At 47.2% G+C, this 22,845-nt stretch overlaps 1 protein-coding gene across 2 annotated transcripts in view; it reads left to right on the top strand.

The window, feature by feature from the left end:
- Window positions 1–22,845, top strand: part of NOS1 (nitric oxide synthase 1) — a 153,485-nt gene that overhangs the window by 13,452 nt on the left and 117,188 nt on the right. For both annotated transcript variants that reach the window (NM_000620.5, NM_001204218.2), the window contains exon 2: window positions 16,686–17,830. In NM_000620.5, coding sequence (NP_000611.1) covers window positions 17,106–17,830 — 725 coding nt within the window. In that variant the 5' untranslated portion in view covers window positions 16,686–17,105. The remainder of the gene's footprint in view (window positions 1–16,685; window positions 17,831–22,845) is intronic.

The raw sequence follows: 22,845 nt of genomic DNA, 5'->3' as shown, positions 1-22,845 counted from the left end.
TCAGTAAAGCTGACTCAGGTGGGGATGTGTCCCGCAGTGTCGAGGTAGGGTGTCCTCCAGGGGCTTCCCAGGTGTGCTGGTGCAACACGAGATAAAGACCAAGCCAGTTCAGGTAACCCCCAGGTAGAGTCACTAAAAAAAAAAAAAAAAAAAAAAATGTAGGGGATCTGGGACTGAATCTTCCCTTGGAATGGAGGAAGGAAGTTGCATTCCACTCAGCTCCTGTTAGAATGAGTATGCAAGGACTGGTTTGACATCAAAAGAGAAAGCCCAATTTAGACAGAAAGGTGTCACTCCAGGAAGGGCTTTGGTGCACACCCAAAGTGAAAGAAGAAACAGATTCAGACTTCAAGATGATCGTGCAAAGTGCTGCGTCACTCTCAGTAGATTTAACCCAGGGAGAACAAGGTCAGTGTTGAGTATCAGCCCCAGGGCACAAGCTGGGGTGGATGCTGTGATCTCATGCGGAGGTGGGGATCCCATCAAACACCTGGATCGACTGGAACCACCCAGGACAAGACCCAAGTCACTGAGCATGCTGTCCCTTCATTGAGTAGCTTCTGAAGGTGACCTTCCTTGTTGCCCTTTAAAACTCACTCACTAGCAGGGGTCCCACAGTCAAAGGCCTATAGTGAAATACTTATTTGCAAGAAACAAATGAATGACGGGGGCCACAGGGTTTTGCAGGGGAACCAGAGAGCTCATGCCCCACCTAAAGGGGGAGGCGCCACCACCTACTCCAGCTGTTTGGAGTGTGCTCAGGAACACAGGCCCAGTGTAAACATATCTTCCATGGCTCCAAGAAAGCCAGAAATTTCTATCTTTGATGAAACCTCCAGTTTTTTGTTTGTTTGTTTATTTTTCTTTTTTTTTTTTTCCTTGTTTTGAGACAGGGTCACACTCTCTTTCACCCAGTCTGGAGTGCAGTGGCGCGATCTTGGCTCACTGCAACCTCCGCCTCCCAGGTTCAAGCAATTCTTCTGCCTCAGACTCCCAAGCAGCTGGGACTACAGGTGTGCACCACCACACCCAGCTAATTTTTGTATTTTTAGTAGAGACAGGGTTTTACCATCTTGGCCAGGCTCGTCTTCAACTTCTGACCTCAAGTGATCCACCTTCCTTGGCCTCCCAAAGTGCTGGGATTACAGGTGTGAGCCACCATGCCCGGCCTGAAACCTCCAGTTTTTAAATGGTGATAACAAATTTGGGGGAAAAAATTTAACTGTATTAACCAAACGCAATTCATTTGTATACCTATGGGCTGTCTTTGATAGAATCTGACCAGAGCCTGATTGAAGAATGTGATATCCTGGATCTGAAGCATTTTTTGTGCAGAACAGGTGATAGTTTGAGTTGAAGTTGAAATTTCCTTTAAAATGGCCATTTGTGTAGGTCACAAAAAGTCACACGGGGCTTTAGAAGCAAACCGTACCAGTGTTTCTCAAACTCCAGTGTGCACATAAATCCACTGGGGGATCTTCCTAAAATGCAGAGCCTGAGTCATAGGTCTGGGCTGGGCCTTGGGATTCTGCATTGCTGACATGCTCCCAGGTGATGCTGCTGGTGCTGGTGCATGGACCACGCTTTGGGTAGCAAAGCATTAGACCATGTTCATCGCTGGTGGTTTTGCAAACTCCATTAAGACCCACCCCACATTGTCGTTCCTTTTTCTGAATCCAAGTTTTGTTTTTGTTTTTGTTTTCTGAGACAGAGTCTCGCTCTGTGGTCCAGGCTGGAGTGCAGTGGTGTGATCGTGGCTCACTACAACCTCAGCCTCCCGGGTTAAAGCCATTCTCCTGCCTCAGCCTCCTGAGTAACTGGGATTACATGCACGTGCCACCACGCCTGGCTAATTTTTGTATTTTTAGTAGAGACGGGGTTTCACCATGTTGGCCAGACTGGTCTCAAACTCCTGGTCTCAGGTGATCCGCTCGCCTCAGCCTCCCAAAGTGCTGGGATTACAGGCGTGAGCCACGGCACCTGGCCTGAATCCAAGTTTTGTTAACCAAGTGTCTGAAGTCTCATTCATTCACTCATTTGTAATGGGCCATGCCATCACCTCCCTGCAGCTGCTTTCAGGAAGTGAAGTGAGACCAGTCTTGGCTTTCTGCATGGCAACCACTGGCTGGAACTGCTCTCCAAACACGGCATGGGCCCTCCAGTTCTCTACAGTCCCCACTGCTCCCTCTCACCTCTCACAGGGCTGCTTCATTCAATAGCTGTAGACTTAGAGATTGAGACCCTGATTCACTGAGTACCTATTATGTGCCAAGTCCTGTGCTATGCACAGGTGGTTGTTTTTTTGTTTGTTTGTTTGAGACAAGGTCTTGCTTTTTCACCCAGGCTAGAGTCCAGTGGCACAATAATGGCTCACTGCAGCCTCGACCTCCTGGGCTCAATAATCCTCCTGCCTTAACCTCCCAAAGTGTTGGGATTACAGGCATGAGCCACTGAGCCCAGCCCTAAGTGTTAATTGATAAAAGCTGAGTAAATGAAGGAATTGTAGCAGACGTCTCTGATACCATAATCATTATTTTTATTTGATTTTTTATTTGAAAAAGTACATTATCATCTATGGTTCCCTTACAGCACTAAATATATATTTTAAGCTTCTTATCCTAATTATGAAATTGATTGTTTAAACATTTACTTTGACAAGTGACTAGAATCTGTTAGCCTTGTCCCCTCATCTCACTTGTAGTGGTATCTTCAGATACCCTGTTATCGATCCTCAGGAGGCGGATAATTTTTGGAGGTATTTCACCAGGAAGGGAGGTGAGCCAATATTTGACTGTTGGGCAATAATTTAAATTGTTAAGTTCCAGCATAACAAGACAGAAAGAGCATCTTGCAGCCGGGCGCGGTGGCTCACGCCTGTAATCCCAGCACTTTGGGAGGCCGAGGCAGACGGATCACATGAGGTCAGGGGTTTGAGACCAGCCTGGCCAACACGGCAAAATCCCATCTCCACTAAAAATATAAAAATTAGCTGGCAGGCGTCTATAGTCCCAGCTACTCAGGAGGCTGAGGCAGGAGAATTGCTTGAACCCAGGAGGCGGAGGTTGCAGTGAGCCGAGATTGTGCCACTGCACTCCAGCCTGGGCAACAGAGTGAGACACTGCCAAAAAAAAAAAAAAAAAAAAGCAAGAAAGCAACCAAGCAACCAAGCAAGCAAGCAAGAATTAATCATAATAGCCCGCGTTTGATCTTCGTTCTGACTCTGTTTCTAAGAATCTTAGGCAAGTCCTTTCCTGACTATGAGCCTGTAGCTCCTCATCTCCAAAATGTAATGTGAAACCAGTGACTTCTACCCTTGTTATTTATTGTGTAATGGAATACTTGGAAAATTGTATTAATGCCATGGCCTGTTTTCCCCATATAAATGCACGTATCACAAAAGTTGTGCACACAATTTCAGGATTTTCAGGGTTCCCTGAGCCCTGTAGGAGGTTTATAAAATCAATATTGTGAATTGGAGTAGAAAATCCCTAGCATCTCTTTCAACTTTCAATTACTAAAATTGTAGAATTGAGCTAAAAATATATAGCAGTACTTAGAACATTAGAAAAGCAAAGACGTTGAGTTCAGACAAACTTGACTTGAGTCCCCACCACTGACACTAGCTGCATAACCTATGACTTAATGTCTTTGAGCCTTGATTTTAACATCTATAAAATGGGAATTATAATGTCATGTCATGTTCATATCGTGTTGCAAGAATGAAAATGAGATCTTCCAATAAAGTGCTTACATATAAAAATGCTCAAAATATTAAGTTGAACTGTACGAAATTGAAAAAGTTGATCATTTGCAAAACTGTTAATTTCATATATTTCAACCTAATAAGTACTCAGTGTGAATAGTTGAGCGCTTATTCACCAAATACTTATTTCATGCTTACTAGGTGCTAACATATTCTAAGAAGAAAGTCAATTATATTGTGCAGATGAAAGCAGACCTGTGGTGCTTTAGCTCCATGTGGCCAGCAAATGTATACTAGGCTCAGGCCTGCCTTAATGAATATTTTCCCTCCTGTCCTTGGTACTAGTTTACACATTCATACTAAGGTAGGGCAACTGCAAATACATTTTATACAATTGAAGAGTCTTGATCTTTTACTCAAGTTTGACCCAATTGCATTTATTGTTATTACTGGTATATCTGACATATGTGGAATTATTTCTGCCATTGTAGTTTATGTTTTCTATTTAACATGTTTTCCCTTTACTGAAATTCATTTGTAACTGATTCAGGCCTATATGGATGTTGTGGATCTATGTAAAGGCAACTTTCGAGTGAAGGGAACAAATCTTATTACTGCTCTCTTAAAATAGTTATTCTTACTTCTTTTTTCTTCCCTGAGCACCTTTTGTCAGCCTTTTGACTCAGCTCCCCTACACCAGAAAGCACCCAAGGATGCCAGGCATGAGAGGAGAAATTTGATTGAGCCTCAAGTTAACACTGATGTGCAATTTGGAGAAAACAGTTATTATGTTCCCTGAAAAATAAACATTCAACATTGTCATTATAGTTGACATTTACAGTTTACAAAGTGCCCTTTACGGTGTCCATCTTGCTTAATCATTACGAAAGTCTTGGCAACTAGTTGTTATTACTGTTTCGATTTCACAAAAGGAAATTGAGAGTCAAAATGTTAAATGACTTATCCAAGATCAAATAGCTTATAAATGGCAAAGCTTGGAATTGAGCCAAATTGAGCATATTTTTTGTAGCTGAATTCTCAGAATTATGGAAATGACGTTATTAGGAAATGTTGATTCTTGCAATATACTAGACCACAACTAAATTATTACTATTCATGAAAGACAGTTCTATGAAATGAATTTCATTCATTCTTATTCTTTCTTTCACCCCCATTTTCCTTCCTTCCTTCCTTCCTCCCTCCCTCCCTCTCTTCCTTCCTTCCTTCCTTCTTTTTGACAGAGTCTTGCACTGTCACCCAGGCTGGTGTGCAATGGCACAATCGTAGTTAATTTTTTTTTTTTTGGTAGAGATGGGGGTCCTACTATATTACTCAGGCTGGTCTTGAACTCCTGGCCTCAAACAATCCTCTCGCCTCAGCCTCCCAAAGTGCTGGGATTACAGGCATCCAGCCCTTTCACCCTATTTTTACCCCATTGTTCAGGTTTCCCTCTCTCAGGAAATCCTTCACACTCCTTCTACTAGTGGAAGCCAGGAGCTGGGAGGTCACTGCAGACACCTCCTTCTCCGTTAGCTTCTGTATCCAATTAGTCACCAAATCTTGTTGACTCAATCTTGTAAACATCTCTTAAATCGACCCACTTCCTTCCTTCCTCCCTTTCACCACCTGATCCTTAACCACCATCATTGCTCATCTCTGGCCTGCAGCAGCCTCCTAACCAGGCTCCCCATACCCAGCCTTGCTTTTCCCACCCATTTGCCATCCAGCAGCAGCCAGAGTAATCTTCATAAAATCTAAATCTGACCACTGTACTTCTTGTCTCAAAACCCTCCAATGCTTGCCATCGCTCTAAGAATAAAGTCCAAAATTGTTAACTTGCCTTTCAAGAGACCTGATGATCCAGCCCCTGATGACCTCTCCAGATTTATCTCGTGACATGGCTTTCTTCTGTCACCCCAATGCCAGCTCCATCCTACCACAGTGCCTTCTCACACGCTGGTCTCTGTCCTCCATTTCTCACTTCCTCCATCCACCTTCTTATCTGGCCAACTCTGGATCCTGACTCTTCCTCCAGGAAGCCTTCCCTGACCACCACCACCCAGACCATGTTATGTCCCTTATGCAAGGTCTCGTTAGCACCCTGTATTTTCGCTTTTGTTCTACTCATTGTTTTTATCACTAATATTAATCTCCAACTACCTCCACCCTAGGTTGTAAGCTTGAGGGCAGGGATGCTGTCTATCTTATCCACCCCTGTAATCCCAATGCAAGCTCCACGCTGACTGCCCTGTCCTGGGGAGAGCTATGTATGAGTAGGCAAATGAATGGTTGGCATGAAGGAAAGAAAAGAAAAGATGAGAGGAGGCAAAGGAGAGAAAGAGGGAGGGAGGAAAAAAAAAGTAAAAGAGTATAATGTTGATGGGGGTTAGAAAATATGTGCCATCTTATTTTAATGATTGTTAAGAAAAGTTTCCGAGACCGCTGATAATATGTTTCCTTTTTATAGTAATGAGGCTGTCCTCTTGGCCATGATTATGTTTGCATATCTAGCCTGAAATGGTTCAATTATCTTGATGTGTAATCTAAAGTGACTCTAAAAATAATAGTCAACAGTACCACATGCTATAGATGAATTATCCCCTCTAATGCACTTCCATTTAAATTATCCCATGTGATTTATTGGTTTCCATCTTTAAGGCAGAAACCAGAATTGTTCCCACTTTACAGATGAGGAATCTGAGGCTAATAGGCAGCAGAGGTGGGTCACAAACCCTGGTTTTTCTAGCTCCAAATTCATGCCTTTGACCCCCACACAGCATTTACAGCAATGGGGCAGGTATGTAGGGGCAAGGGTGGGAGGCAGAAGTGCATCTGTGCCACTTTTGTGCTTTTGTGCCACTGAAGCGTCCATGGATAGAAGGAACTTAAGAACCTTAGCCCCAAACTCTGAAATTTTCTGTCATATGATGGATGGATATATTGGTCTCCCGTTGGCCGAACTAGCTCAAGTAAATGAGCTCTGCAAAACGAAGCTGAAATGAAGACTCTGTGATTCCCCAGATCTATTCTAACATCGGGATGACAGCCCTGCAGCTCTCTCCCTGTGATGAACCAGACCGTCCTCCTCATCCCGCCCTAGTGGTGTTGACTCACCACCAAGTTCTGGGGCCTCAGTGCTTCTGGATGCATCTTTCATGTGCCGTGTTCCGACAAACTGAATCCTGCTTTTGCAGCATTCCGAAAAGGAGCCAATGACAGTCATCGACTCCCATGGGAGACAGGACCAGTCCACGTGTCCGTACCTTTTACCTGGTCTTTCAACACAAAGTGCCTTAAGCAGCACATCCACCAGACACTACGGATGCTCAATAGAAAAATGACTGCTTACGTGATGATAATTAGTAATAGTGGTGGTAAAAGGATCCATTTCCTGGGCACTTACCTAGTCTATGGTGCATTGTAATAACATAGAAAACGTTAACTATTGGCTGGGCACAGTGGCTCATGTCTGTAATCCCAGCACTTTGGGAGGCCGAGGCAGGTGGATCACTTGAGGATAGGAGTTCGAGACCAGCCTGGCCAACATGGTGAAACCCCATCTCTACTAAAAATACAAAAAAAAAAAAAAAAAAAAAAATAGCCAGGTGTGATATCAGCTACTCAGGAGGCTGAGGCAGGAGGATCACTTGAACCTGGGAGGCAGAGGTTGCAGTAAGCCAAGATCACGCCACTGCACTCAGCCTGGGCAACAGAGCAAGATTACGTCTCAAAAAAGAATAAAAATAATAGAAATTTAAAAATTAAAATACAAAAATTAGCCAGGAGTGGTGGCGGGTGCCTGTAGTCCCAGCTACTCAGGAGGCTGAGGCAGGAGAATCACTTGAACCTGGGAGGCAGAGGTTGCAGCGAGCCGAGATTGCGCCACCACACTCCAGCCTGGGTGACAGAGTGAGACTCCGTCTCAAAATAAATACATAAATAAAAAAGGAGAAAACATTAACTATTATCTCTTTGTATCCTCAGACACCCTATCTATGTAGGCACTATTATCACCCCTATTTAATAGATGCAGAAACTATGACTCAGAGAGAGTAAGTAACTTGCCCACGATCACAAAGCCAAGTAGAGAATCAGACAGTCTGACTTCAAAGACCTTACTCTTTTCTTAAAATTGATGCAAAAAACATTGTTAAAAAATAATAATTTAGTCCAGGCACAGTGGTTCATGCTTATAAACTCTGCACTTTGGGAGGTCAAGGTGGAAGGATTGCTTGAGGCCGGGAGTTTGAGACCACCCTGAGCAACATAGTGAGACACCGTTTCTACAAAAAGTTAAAAAATTAGCCAGTCACGGTGGTGTGTGCTTGTAGTCCAGTTACTCAGGAGGCCAAAGCTTGAGGATAACTTGAGCCCAGGCCTTGGAGGTTGCAGTTAGCTGTTATTACACCACTGCCCTCCAGCCTGGGCAACAAAGCGAGACCCTGTCTCAAAAATAAATAAATAAAGAATAGCAATCTAATATGAAGGAATATACAATAAAAAGTAAGCTTCCTTCCCACCCAATTTCTAGCCTTCCAGCCCCCTTTCCTAGAAGTAACCACTGGTACTGATATCTTGAATAATTTTCCAGAGCTGTTCAGTGCATCTCCAAGCTTATGTGGAAACATGGATGAATGCATGATGAAGCTGTAGGATGGACTTATAATTATATTTCTAAATGGGTGTGCTCCACCTTGCTTTTAAATTTAACACTGTATCTTTAAGAGCATTCCTCACTGGTCTGGTCTTTTTAGCTCTAATCTCCTGCTTATTTAATGCCTGCCCAGAATTCCGTTGTATGGATGTGCCATAGTTGATTTAATAGTCTTCTATTGATGGGTACTTAAGATTTTCTCAATCTCTTGATATTCAGATATTCAGAACCCTGCAAAGAAGAGTTTTGTATGTGTTTAAGGATGTTCCTTTCAGGTTACCTGCAGGAGAAAGTCCTGACATTTGAATTGTCAGGCCAAGATATATGTATTTTAAATTTGGAGGTAGATATTGTCAAACTGCCATTCAAAGAGGTTGTATTTGGCAGCAATGTAAGAGAGTGGGATTTCCCAAAGCCTTGACAACAGAGTGTGTGTCACATTTTAAACAATCATTAATGCTCGTGCTTGTAACTCTAAGCTGAGCCTGTTACTACCTCTGAGATATGGGCATCAGAGGTGGGAAGATTGACATCATCATAGGCAAACTGTAGCCATGAAACTGGGGGAATTCCGTGGCTGAGGAGACTCAGGATGCTTGTGTCTTTGGGATCCCCAAGGCAAAGAATGTCAACTTAACCCCCAGATTTGTGGGGACTTGTGGGTTTGCCGCCATGACTTACCGGCATGGGAGAAAGCACTTCAGCTTGATTCCTGGGTGGTGATCTCTCTGGGGAAAGACTGCAAATTAGCAGTTCAGGAAATGTAAAGAAGCTGGTGGTTTTGCATTTTTTAAAAGAGCGCAGTTGGGTTTACGCTTTCAGTCTTTTGTTTGTGTTGGGGGTGGCAGTATTTTGTTTTGTTTTTGAAGACTTGGAGGACTTGGAGTTTGTTTTTAAATGAGATTGGAGGGAGATGGGAAACAGGGCTGAAACTCCATCAGATATTTTGTGGGTGTATAAACTGAAAAGAGTCAAGACTTCACAGGCAGGCTGGGTTTTGTTTTCTTTGATATTATTCATGTAAAACCATTGATATCCGTTTCCTCCAGAATAACCTTTACATTTACATATACAGAACTGACTTGCTTGCACCTTAATGGTATACCTTGGAGTTCATTTCTTATTTGCAGATAGAGATCTGCCTCATTGTCTTTAATGACACATTTATTGTACAGATGAGTTAGATTTTTTTAATTTTATTATTATTATACTTTAAGTTTTAGGGTACATGTGCACAATGTGCAGGTTAGTTACATATGTATACATGTGCCATGCTGGTGTGCCGCACCCATTAACTCGTCATTTAGCATTAGGTATATCTCCTAATGCTATCCCTCCCCCCACCCCACAACAGTCCCCAGAGTGTGATGTTCCCCTTCCTGTGTCCATGTGTTCTCATTGTTCAGTTCCCGCCTATGAAACAGGGTCTTGTTCTGTCACCCAGGCTGGAATGCAGTGGTGCTATCTTGGCTCACGGTAGCCTCAACCTCCCAGGCTCAATTGATCCTCCCACCTCAGTCTCCAGAATAGCTGGGACTACAGGCATGTGTCACCATGCCTAATTTTTATTTTGTTTTGTTTTGTTTTTTTTTGTTTTGTTTGAGACAGAGTCTCACTCTGTCGCCCAGGCTGGAGTGCAGTGGCGCAATCTCGCCTCACTGCAACCTCCGCCTCCCAGGTTCAAGTCATTCTCCTGCCTCAGCCTCCTGATCAGCTGGGATCACAGGTGCCTGCCACCACACCCAGCTAACTTTTTTGTATTTTTAGTAGATATGGGGTTTCACCATGTTGGCCAGGCTGGTCTTGAACTCCTGACCTCAAGTGATCCACCTGCCTCGGCCTCCCAAAGTGTTGGGATTACAGGTGTGAGCCACCGCGCCTGTCCAAATTTTTGTGTTTTTTGTAGAAATGGGATATCACTATGTTGCACAGGCTGATTTCAAGCTCCTGGCCTCAAGCAATCTGCCTGCCTCAGCCTCCCAATGTGCTGGGATGACAGCCCTGGGTTAGATTTTAACTGACACTTGGAAGCAAGATTTTGGATACTGGACTATTAGCCCAGGGGACATTCTACTATGACCTCTCTATTCATATGGTTCTGGGTGGATTTTCTCTCTTTCCATGCTACCCCCACCATGCCTATTCCCAGAGGTCAGTTTCAAAAGGTGACGTGATATTTGCAAACCCTCTTTGTCATTTTTCTGGTTTCTTTAAAAGGGAAAACTTTAAGAAGTGTCTTCTGCCTGGCTGTTACCAGTAGGTTCTTGAGGAGATCCAGGGATGGTAGGCTACAGAAAGAACAACGGTCACACTCTAGACCCATGCTGCCCAATGGCAATATAATGCAAGCCATGTGTGTAATGTTGGGCTTTATAAGTCACATTAAAAAGAGTAAAAAGCGCGGCCGGGCACGGTGGCTCAAGCCTGTAATCCCAGCACTTTGGGAGGCCAAGGCAGGCGGATCACAAGGTCAGGAGCTCGAGACCATCCTGGCTAACATGGTGAAACCCCATCTCTACTAAAAATACAAAAAAATTAGCCGGGCATGGTAGCACATGTCTGTAGTCCCAGCTACTCGGGAGGCTGAGGCAGGAGAATGGCGTGAACCTGGGAGGCAGAGCTTGCGGTGAGCCGAGATCGCGCCACTGCACTCCAGCCTGGGCGACAGAGCAAGACTCCGTCTCAAAAAAAAAAAAAAAAAAAAAAAAAAAGAGTAAAAAGCAGCTGGGTACAGTGGCTCATGCCTGTAATCCCTATACTTTGGGAGGCTGAGGCAGGAGGATTGCTCAAGCCCATGAGTTCAAGACCAGCCTGGACAGCATGGCAAAACCTCTTCTCTACAAAAATACAAAAATTAGCTGGGCATGGTGGCGTGTGTCTGGAGTCCCAGCTACTCAGGGGGCTGAAGTAGGAGGATCACTTGAGCCTGGGAGGTGGAGGCTGCAGTGAGCCAAGATTGTGCCACTGCCCTCCAGCCTGGGTGACAGAGTGAGACCCTGTCTCACAAAAAAAGAAAGAAGAGTGAAAAGCAATGGGGAAAATTAACTTTCATAATAATTTTATTTAACACAATATATCCATAACAGCATAATTTCAAATATAATCAGTAAACATCGTGGAGATGTTTATGTTCTTTTTCTCATACTAGTCTTTGTTTTTTGTTTTTTAAATTTTTTTATTTCAATAGGTTTTTTGGGGAACAGGTGGTGTTTGATTACATGACTAAGTTCTTTAGTGGTGACTTCTGAGATTTTGGTGCACCCATCACCTCTCATACTAGTCTTTGAAAGTCAATGTGCACTTTACTCTTGCAGCACATTGCAACTGAACCTGCCACAGTCCATGTGCTCAATGGCCATGTGTGTCAAGCGGCTGCCATATTGGACAGCACAGGTCTGGATGCTCCAGCTATGGCTGGTCCATGTTGAATGAGCCCTTTGCTTCTCCAGGCCTCTGTTTTCTCGTTTCTGCATGAGGAAGCTAGACTAGATAGGCTTGGTGGCTCCTCTTCATCCTAACATTCTTCATCTTTCAATGCTAAAAATGGAAAGCACGGGTAAACCAGGACAAGCAGGCTTCCCTGTGGGAGCTTTGTTTTCTCATCTATAAAATGGGGCAATCAAATATGACCCAGATCCACAGGCGAGGATGTGCTTTGTGGAGGAAAAGGAGGGAGGCATAGTGTTGTGAGATTATTTTCAGGACTGTGATTGACCACTCACTTAGACCCAGGTCTACCTCCTTGATTTATGTCCCTGAACCTCATCTGCCTTATCCATCCGTAAGGTGCAGATAAAAATGGCGCTTACAAGGCCCAGCATGGAGGCTCATGCCTGTAGACACAGCAACTCAGGAGGCTGAGGCAGGAGGGTCACTTGAGCCCAGGAGTTCGAGAACATAGTGAGACTCTGTCTCTACAAATATAAAAACAACTAGCTTGGTGTAGTGGCATGCACCTGTAGTCCTAGCTACTCGGGAGACTAAGGCAAGAGGATCACTTGAGGCACAGAGTTTGAGACCAGCCTGGGCAAGATATCAAGACCCTGTCTCTCTCTCTCTCTCTCTCTCTCTCTCTCTCTCTCTCTCTCATATAGTCTGTAACAATTAAATAAAACCCCTATGCAGAGGGCTCAGGCACCAATGCTTAGTGCACAGTAAGCTCTCAACCACAGGAGGCTGCTGCTGTTACCTTTCCTTCTGTTGCAGAAATGAGGTTCAGGGTGGAGAGGGACTTGGCCAAGGTCGCACAGAGAGGAGGGAGTAGCAGACGCTGGCCTATTTGGGCTTCCTCCCTCTCATTGGCAGCCATCCCCGATAGTCAGCTACTAATTTCCTCACAGCAAGGTAAATGCAATAAATACACCCGAAGCCACTGAACTACTTGAATGAGGCTTGGGTCCAAGTATTGTTTCCATGGTATGTACCCTGGCAAGCATGCATATGTGATTTGTTTAAAATCCCAGCTCCTGAGGGCGGAGGCAGGGCTCTCAGGCAATTCTATCCAGCAGCCGTCTCTCCCTAGACGGTGCCCCCCACCCAGACCGGCGTGAGATGCCTCGGTGTGATTTCAAGGGAAGGGCCCCCTTCTACATGGCGCCTGAAGTACCTTTGGCTGGACAGTGACAGAGTAGAAAGTGCACTGAATTAAAAGCCAGGAAGTCCGAATCGTTATCTATTACATAACAATAATAGGAAGCCACTTTTCTGAGTTCTCACTACTGTATGACATTGCCAAGTTCTCTGCATTTACTGTTTCATTTAACCCTCCCCGTTACTCAGAGACGAGGTGATTACAAATGACCGCATTTTGGAACTGAGGTTTAGAGAAAATAAACAACTCACCCAGAAACACCCGGATAGAGCCAGGAAGGACCTTAAAACTCTTCCCTGGGGCAGGAGGCGGCCAGCTCTCCCTACGGAGCCTCATGGAAACTGGACATTCAAAAACCGGGACAAGCGGGTGTCCTTATAGCAGCTTAATTTATTCATCTGTAAAGTTGGGGGACAGCCGAACCTGATGTTGGTCAGGACAAGGATGAAAAATAGGATAGATGAGGATGTTTTGCAGGAGGAAAAGGAGGCAGAGAAAGTGTTGTGGAATTGTTATTAAGATAATGATTGACGGCCAGGTGCAATGGCTCACGCCTGTAATCCCAGCACTTTGGGAGGCTGAGGCAGGCGGATCACTTGAGGTCAGGAGTTCGAGACCAGCCTGTCCAACATGGCAAAACCCTATCTCTACTAAAAATACAAAATTAGCCAGGTGTGGTGGCGGGAGCCGTAATCCCAGCTACTCGGGAGGCTGAGGCTAGAGAATTGTTTGATTCCAGGAGGTGGAGGTTGCAGTGAGCTGAGATCGCACCACTGCATTCCAGCCTGGGCGACAGAGTGAGACTCTGTCTAAAAAAAAAAGAAGCTAATTGACAGAGCTCAGACCCAGAGCTTGCTGTCTCCCTCCCTCTCTGTCTCTGTCTCTCAGCAGACAGAAAATATATCTGCCTCTCCCCAGCCCAGCTTCCTTCCAACTCCTTCCAAAGATCAAGTTTCCTTTCTACAGCCAAGGTGTGAGAGAGAAACAGCACACCAATTTCCCAAGCACCAGCCCAGAGCCCTCCCTGATTCTAGGATGCAGCAGAGAAAGAGAGAAGAACGTGCTGAGAGTGGCCAGGGGCTGTTGCCAATTGCTTCATTTCTGTTTTCTTTTTTCCTTAAGCAAAGTACACCAAAGGCTAATTCCCGCCTCTGTCCTTTAGTAAGGTCTGGCCCAAGCCAGAGTCTGGAGGAAGTCAGCTTGGGGGCCTTGCCTCCCCAAGAGGTCGCCTTTCAGTTGCTTCTTTCATTAAAGAATTAAGCCTTAATGCCAAACGGGATGCTCAAGAGAGCTCTGGAGGTCCCGGCTGTCTCTGCCACCAACTGAACAGTGAGCATCCTGGGTTTGGTACCTGCAGGACATGGGGCTTGGGGAGGGTTAAGGAAGCAAGGAGAGAGAAGGGCACAGCGGTCCTGGATGGGTTTCCCTGCAAACCAGAACCCAGCAGCAAGATGCCGAAAGACACTCAGCCGGTTGACACCCGGGCCACACACAGCAGAGAAATGACACAGCACGCGGGCGACGCATGAATACACAGAAACACACACACAGAGCAACGCCAGATGGAGAACGCAGCCCAGGCTGAGCCCGGGGATTCATTATTTCCTCACCCACACAGAGGGGCTGACAGAGTTACGTAATGCAGGCTGCAAAGGGGAGGCTGAACTTGCTAATTATCCCCCCCACACACCCCCCCATTGAGGGGATCCAGGAGGTGGCACCTCCCTCTGGGAGGGGTCTCTGCACCCACCTTCTGCTCTCAGAGGCAGCAGGAGCTTGTCAGCTGCCTCAGCCCTGGGGTGACCCTGGGAAGTCGCTAAAAGGGAAATGAGGAAGTGAGTGTCAGTTTGTTAGTCATGGCAGATGGGGGCTCCCTCCTGGTGCTGAAGCATGGTGAGGTTGCTGGCAGGAAGGGGCTTTGGGACAGAGATGGAAGTAGCACTTGAGTGGGGAGCAGGGAAAGAGATGGAAGGGTTCTCTGATGTCTCCTACCCATCTTGCTGGTATTGATGTTTGTAGTGTGACCAAACCTATCTTTTTGAACTTGCAACAAACTAATAATTACAAGTAGGGACGGGCGGCTACTTCCCACCCTACCCACACCCACAGATCACCTGCCCCATCCCAGATGTGCCACACTGTGCATGTACACGGCCCCGTGGGCACATGCTACAGGTGCTTGCCCCTCACCTGGGCCACAGCATCTCCAGCTGGGCCCCCATTGGCCTTTGGTACCCCAACCAGACCCCATTTCTTTGAGCCTGAGAGAGTCAGTGACTTGCAAGATTCCAGCATTTCAGGGAGAAAGTTAGGAGTTAAGAAAATAACTAGAATATAAATTTGATTTTGGCGGGGGGCAGGGGAGACAGAGTTTCACTCTGTTGCCCAGGCTGGAGCGCAATGGCGTAATCTCAGCTCACTGCAACCTCCGCCTCCTTGGTTCAAGCGATTCTTGTGCCTCAGCCTCCTGAGTAGCTGGGATTACAGGCACCCGCCACCACACCCGGCTAATTTTTGTATTTTTAGTAGAGACGAAGTTTCACCATGTTGGCCAGGCTGGTCCCAAACTCCTGACCTCAGGTGATCCGCCCGCCTTGGCCTCCCAAAGTGCTGGGATTATAGGTGTGAGGCACTGTGACCGGCCTGATTTTTTTTTTAAATAAATAGAGAAAGGGTCTTGCTATGTTGCCCAGGCTGGTCTCAAACTCCTGGGCTAATGCGATCCTCCCACCTCAGCCTCCCAAACTGCTGAGATTACAGGTGTGAGCCACCATACCTGTACTATAATATAAATTTGAAAGAGCTAGAGTATAAGTTTAAAAGCTCAGGCTCCAGGTCAAATCCTCCCCCTGCCATTATTCTCTATGTGACCTTGGACAAGTTACTGAACCTTCCCAAGCTTCCCTTTCCTCTTCTCTTGAGGGGTTATCGTGAGGATCAAAGGAGAAATAACAAATATGTGTTAAGAGCGAACGTGCTCAAAAAGTGTCTGCCGTGTTTAGTCTTTGGGATTTTTCCTTCTTCAGTCAACGAATGTTCATTGAGTGCCTACAATGTTCCTATGTTTCCCCTTCTCCATCAGAGTTTCAGCTGTCTGTGGAGCACAAGTGTCTTCCACAATTTTGTGTGGACCCATCTTCTTAGTATTTATGTTTGTAGTGTGACTAAGCCTATCCTTTTGAACATGGAACAAGCTAATAATTACAAAAATGGTTATGAAGGCCAACTGACATTCGTCATCATTGTGTACATGGAAGGCAGTGTCATTCCCGTTCCACTGGGCTTTGGGAGTGGCTGGAACAGAGAGCCCAAAAATCTGTGCCAGCTGAGCCCCCGAGCTATGGATGGAAAATGTATACAAGACACAGAGAGCAACTAGAATGCTTGACAAGTTGGACTGATGACCTCTCGTGGTGGGAAAGAGATAAGAGAGGTCTTTTGATTCTCGTCACTTGATTTCTGGGGCTGACTGTCCATGTTTGCCCAGGGAGACCCTTTTGTCCCAGAGGGCTTTGATCATGGAAGTGAAACTAGGTAATTTGCAGCTAACCTTGAAAGGTGCCCCCTCCAGGAAGAAGGATTTTGTTTCTAGGTTGGCTTGAAATTCTGGAGTGTCTTGTGTCTAGACTTTGTCAATTGGCTGCATTTTCTATCTCAGTTTTCAAGGTGGTGTTGGGCACTCTACTTCAATCTCTTTTTTTAAATTCTTTTCATCCCCTCCTGTTCTTCCTCTTCAGCTCATGATGCCTCAGATCTGATCCGCATCTAACAGGCTGGCAATGAAGATACCCAGAGAATAGTTCACATCTATCATGCGTCACTTCTAGACACAGCCATCAGACGCATCTCCTCCCCTTTCTGCCTGACCTTAGGGACACGTCCCACCGCCTCTCTTGACGTCTGCCTGGTCAACCATCACTTCCTTAGAGAATAAGGAGAGAGGCGGATGCAGGAAATCATGCCACCGACGGGCCACCAGCCATGAGTGGGTGACGCTGAGCTGACGTCAAAGACAGAGAGGGCTGAAGCCTTGTCAGCACCTGTCACCCCGGCTCCTGCTCTCCGTGTAGCCTGAAGCCTGGATCCTCCTGGTGAAATCATCTTGGCCTGATAGCATTGTGAGGTCTTCAGACAGGACCCCTCGGAAGCTAGTTACCATGGAGGATCACATGTTCGGTGTTCAGCAAATCCAGCCCAATGTCATTTCTGTTCGTCTCTTCAAGCGCAAAGTTGGGGGCCTGGGATTTCTGGTGAAGGAGCGGGTCAGTAAGCCGCCCGTGATCATCTCTGACCTGATTCGTGGGGGCGCCGCAGAGCAGAGTGGCCTCATCCAGGCCGGAGACATCATTCTTGCGGTCAACGGCCGGCCCTTGGTGGACCTGAGCTATGACAGCGCCCTGGAGGTACTCAGAGGCATTGCCTCTGAGACCCACGTGGTCCTCATTCTGAGGGGCCCTGAAGGTTTCACCACGCACCTGGAGACCACCTTTACAGGTGATGGGACCCCCAAGACCATCCGGGTGACACAGCCCCTGGGTCCCCCCACCAAAGCCGTGGATCTGTCCCACCAGCCACCGGCCGGCAAAGAACAGCCCCTGGCAGTGGATGGGGCCTCGGGTCCCGGGAATGGGCCTCAGCATGCCTACGATGATGGGCAGGAGGCTGGCTCACTCCCCCATGCCAACGGCCTGGCCCCCAGGCCCCCAGGCCAGGACCCCGCGAAGAAAGCAACCAGAGTCAGCCTCCAAGGCAGAGGGGAGAACAATGAACTGCTCAAGGAGATAGAGCCTGTGCTGAGCCTTCTCACCAGTGGGAGCAGAGGGGTCAAGGGAGGGGCACCTGCCAAGGCAGAGATGAAAGATATGGGAATCCAGGTGGACAGGTAAGCTCCACAGGGGTGTGTGTGTGTGTGTGTGTGTGTGTGTGCATGCTTGTGTGTGTGCATGTGCGTCTACTGAGACTCAGCCTCATAGCCCAGAAGCCAACCTGGGCTGTCTCAGATACCTGTTTTTGCATAACCACTTGACGGCCCCCTTGATCTTCACTTAAAATTACATTCACAAGAGGCCACAGGGCATAGCTTCTAGGATGCTTCTCTTGTCACAAAACCCAGAGCGAATTAATCATCATGGTAGCAGACAGTGTGTCTTCTCATCTTTATCCCCTATAATCCTCCAGGAAACTTACTTGCATTTTTGCAATCTATGTTTCACAAGTGAGAAGACGGAGGCTCGGAGTGGAGGCTGCCCTTCCTGAGGTTGCCTAGCAAGTGGGAGGCGTGTGTGCGTGGCACCCTGGGGTGTGTGGCTCTGCAAAAACCCTTGGAAGACAGGAGGGAAGAGCTGAGCCCTGGGCAACCCTTAGCTTAAATCAGCTTTCTCCTCATTGCAGCCAGTCCAGGATGCGTAAAATTCTGAAGGAGTAGAAGGGAATCAAAGTCTAGAACTGGCCCCGGTTCCTAAAAACCGCAGTCTTGCTGGGATTATGTGGGAGCTGGGACTAGAACTTAAAGAACTGGGTACCAGCCCTCTGTGTTTGCCAGATTAATGTTTTCAATTCTCTGCAGGTGGAAAGCTGGCAACAGAGTGGGTGATGCTAGCTCCTTCTATGGGGAGAAAATCAGCAGCTGGGCCAGGCAGTCAGAGAATAATGGGTCAGGAGATTAAACACAGAGAGAAGTTTCTCTGTCCCCCTTCCATTTGCATCTTAGGTCTGGCACTGACGTTACAGCCCCCAGTGCTGCCAGGGTGGGTCTAGGTATACCCAGAGGGAGGCTCAGTCTGAGGCCACCAAAAAATCCAGGCCAAGATTTCCCAACCCTTTCCCCAAGAACCCCAAAGTGTCCTCAGAGCACTTAGAGATCTTCAGGAACATTCCGCCCCCCACAATCTGGGGGCCTGGGTTAAGGTAGCTCCCCAGACCCCTGCATTCACTCATTTAACAAATGTTCATTGAGGACCTACTGTGTGTCAGGCACTGTCCTAAGCTCTAGGGTAGAGCAATGAATGAAATCAACAAATCCCCTGCCATTGGGGAGCTCACAGTATAGTGGGGAGGACTGGTGGTAAATAAGATAAATATATAAATATGTAATGAGGTCATGTGCTACAGGTGCATAATGATGTCTCAGTCATCAAAGGGCCGCTTATGTATCAGGGATCCCATTAGATTATAAAACTGTATTGTTACTGTACCTTTTCCATGTTTAGATATGTTTGGATACACAGATCCTTACAATTGTGTTACAGTTGCCTGCAGCATTCCGTACAGTCACATGCTGTACAGGTTTGTAGCCTGGAGGCATTAGGCTACACCGTATAGCCTAGGTGTGGAGTAGGCTCTCCCATCCAGGTTTGTGTAAGTGCACTCTATGATGTTCCCACAATCACTGAATTGCCTAATGATGCATTTCACAGAATGTGTCCCCGTCATTAAGCGATGCATGACCGTCTGTTAGGGATATATGTAAAGGAGATAAAGAAAGCAGGAAAGGGATTAGCTGGGCGTGATGGCACATGCCTGTAGTCGCAGCTACTCAGGCGGCTGAGGCAGGAGAATCACTTGGACCCGGGAGGCAGAGGTTGCAGTGAGCTGAGATTGCGCCACTACACTTCAGCCTAGGCAAAAGAGCGAGAGCAAGACTGCGTCTCAAAAAAAAAGGAACAAAAAAAAGCAGGGAAGGATGGGATCAGAAATATTGAGAACTTTTAAATAGGGAGGCTAGGGCAGGTCTCACTAGGAAGGCAACATTTAAATACCGCCAGGCAAGGTGGCTCACGCCTATAATCCCAGCACTTTGGGAGGCTGAGACGAGCAGATCACCTGAGGTCAGGAGTTCGAAACCAACCTGCCAACATGGTGAAACCCCATCTCCACTAAAAATACAAAATTAGCCAGGCATGATGGTGGGTGCCTGTAATCCCAGCTACTTGGGAGGCTAAGCCAGGAGAATAGCTTGAACCCGGGAGACAGAGGTTGCAGTGAGCCGAGATCGCACCACTGCACTCCAGCCTGGACCACAGAGTGAGACTCCATCTCATAATTAATTAATTAAATGCCTGGAGGAAGGGAGGGAGGGAGTCTGGCAGCTTTCTAGGGGGTGGGAGAGGGGATGGGCACTCCAGGTAGAGAGAAGATCCTGTGCAGAGTCCTCAGGTAGGAGTGTGCTTAACGTGTTTGAGGCACTGCTTGGCATGCACCTTCCTCCCAAACTGCCCTTTGATGGCCCCTCAGTCTGTCACAGCCCACCTCAGCCTGCCAGTGCATCAGAGTTTTCCTAACTTCTCACACCTGGACAAAAATGGGGCCAATTCCAGTGAGACCCAAGAGCCCCCCAAGGAGTAAGACAGGGGCTCCATCACAAGTCCCTGGGCAGAGGGGAAACCAGGGTCACTGGCCTCCCTTTAAGCCCCTTCCCTCCAACCTACTCCTTTTTTCCTCGGTACATTCCCTGGGGACAGCCTGGAGTCCTCCCTGCACCTTTGGTCCTCATCCCCAGGAGGAGGAAGACCAAAAGTCTTGGACCGAATACACACAGCATTGTGTGACGTCTCAGTGAGGTAGATGCATGCGTGGGGAACTCTGTGGCATTGGATGTCCATTTCCAGAGTGGGTAGCCAGGATTAGTCTTCAAGATTCTGCTGGCTGGGGGAGATTTGAAGCCTGGTTTACCCACAACTAGCACAGGAGGCCTCCCAGGCTGGAACCCGGGCCTCAGGGAGCTGCCACTGCCCATGGGTCCCTCCAGCAGCACATCCAGTGGAGGTGGCATCTTGAGGCCTTGCTGTGTCTCCCAGTAGTCCAGCTCATGCCATAGAGTTAAATCCTAAGGCAGCTGTAGGATCCAGAACGGAAGGCATTGGCCTTATTTGCCAGGAGGCTTTGGGAAGTGTCCCTCCCGAAAGGCTGCCCCCAAGCACCACCTCTGCCTCCCAATCCTCTACCACCCTCCCTGTCCCTCAGTGCTCCCTGTCCCTCAGTGCTCCCTCTCCTGAGAAGAGCAGCACCAGTGTGGAATGGGAGCTCTGTCTTACTTTATATAAGCAGAGTCCCCTTCCCATGGGCAGCTGAATCCCAGCCGTATCTAATATCCATGCACTTGATTGCAATTCTCAACTGGGCATCAGGTGGGCATGGAGGGGTGAGTATCAGAGTTCTGAGGGGCTCTATTTCAGCCACACCCCCAGAACTCCAGGAGTCTGAATCTCTGTATGCGATGTGGAGACGTCCCCCAGAGGATCCCAGTGCACCCTCTCTTCCAGAACTGGGAGCTGGGTCCTTCCCCTCCAGGGAGTTCGTTTGATCCTCTCCCCCAGCCGACAGTCTGGGACACGAGGATTGGTGCAGAACTCTAGGCTTGGGTGTGATGTGGAGGACTTCACGGGAGCCCTCGTGTCACCAAGCACCAAGGGGCTCCTCTCCAAACGCCATCTCAGGAAGCAATGTCCTGCCTTTGTTTCCCCAAGGAAGAGGGAGGGACAAGTCGGCCTGCCATGGAGTCCTGCCCCTGCAGACCTATTTTCCCAGCTCAGGAGGCTGCATCCAAGCTCTCAGCTTCCCTCATCCCTTGCGGCCCTCCCACTAGTCACCCATCTCAACTGTGACCGTGATGAGGTGGTTTGCCCGAAAGCGGCCAAAAAACCTGCTTCAGAGGAGAAACAAGGTCTAGAGAAGGTGGCTTAGAGCAAGTACAGGGCTCTGTGAAACCCACTTAGGTGAGCAGTTCTAAGGATGAGTGATATTTAATCATAGTGTGTGTCCTCCTTGCTCAATGGCTTGGACTCAAAGCACCCCCATTTCTTTTTGTTTTTGTTTTTGTTTTTTTGTTTTTTTTTTTTTTTTGAGACAGAGTCTCGCTTTGTCACCCATGCTGGAGTGCAGTGGTATGATCTCGGCTCACTGCAACCTCCGCCTCCCGGGTTCCAGCAATTCTCCTGCCTCAGCCTCCCGAGTAGCTGGGATTATAGGCATGTGCCACCACGCCTGGCTAATTTTTGTATTTTTAGTAGAGACAGCGTTTCGCCATGTTGGCCAGGCTGGTCCTGAACTCCTGACCTCAGGTGATCCGCCCGTCTCGGCCTCCCAAAGCGCTGGGATTACAGGAGTGAGCCACCATGCCCGGCCAGCACCCCCATTTCTTAACACATATTTTTAAATGTCTTTACTAACTGGATGCTAATTCATGGATAGCAGTTTAAATGTCTTTACTAACTGGATGCTAATTCATGGATCCAGTTAGAAGTGCTACTCGCACTTCATATTTTTAAAATCTAATATAATGCCATTAACTATAAAATGAAGGGGACCTCATAAAAGTAACTTATAATTTCAAAAGCCTGTAATTTAACATATCAGTGCTCAGACACGACTGCACTGGAATGATCAGATGTTTGCGCCTAAGCATAGAATCACAGCAAACACAACAGCATCAGAAGCAGAGACTGACACAGGTGTGTTGTTTTGGCTCAAATGCCATGAGCAGCGTCGCCTTGGTGATGCAATTTTCCAAAATAGTGAATGACTCCTGATAAAACGATGGGTAAATCAATTTTTCCTTAATTTACCCAGTGGATTTACTGCACGGAAAATTCAGTCTGTTTTAAAGCCGTGTTTATACAAGAGAGAGTTGGGATCTCAGCCCGGGAATATAAGCTTGCCTTTTATATGTGTGAAGTCCCAGAGATCATGTGGCATGCAAGACTCTCTTCCTTCATGTTCCTGGCGTTGCAGGAGGACCACCACCCCTAATGCCACCTCCCTACTACTACAATGCCAGGAGCACCCCCACCTCCATCCTTGTAACAACCAAAACTACCTCCACAAATTACCAAATGGCCTCCTAGGGGCTGAAATAAGGACCTCTTTAGGCATCAGTGTCCCAAGTTAGGAATTGGAATC

Source organism: Homo sapiens, chromosome 12, assembly GCF_000001405.40.
Source record: "Homo sapiens chromosome 12, GRCh38.p14 Primary Assembly".
Classification (NCBI taxonomy): domain Eukaryota; kingdom Metazoa; phylum Chordata; class Mammalia; order Primates; family Hominidae; genus Homo; species Homo sapiens.
Note: the sequence above shows the minus strand (reverse complement) of the source record. Positions and strands in the feature narration are given on the sequence as shown.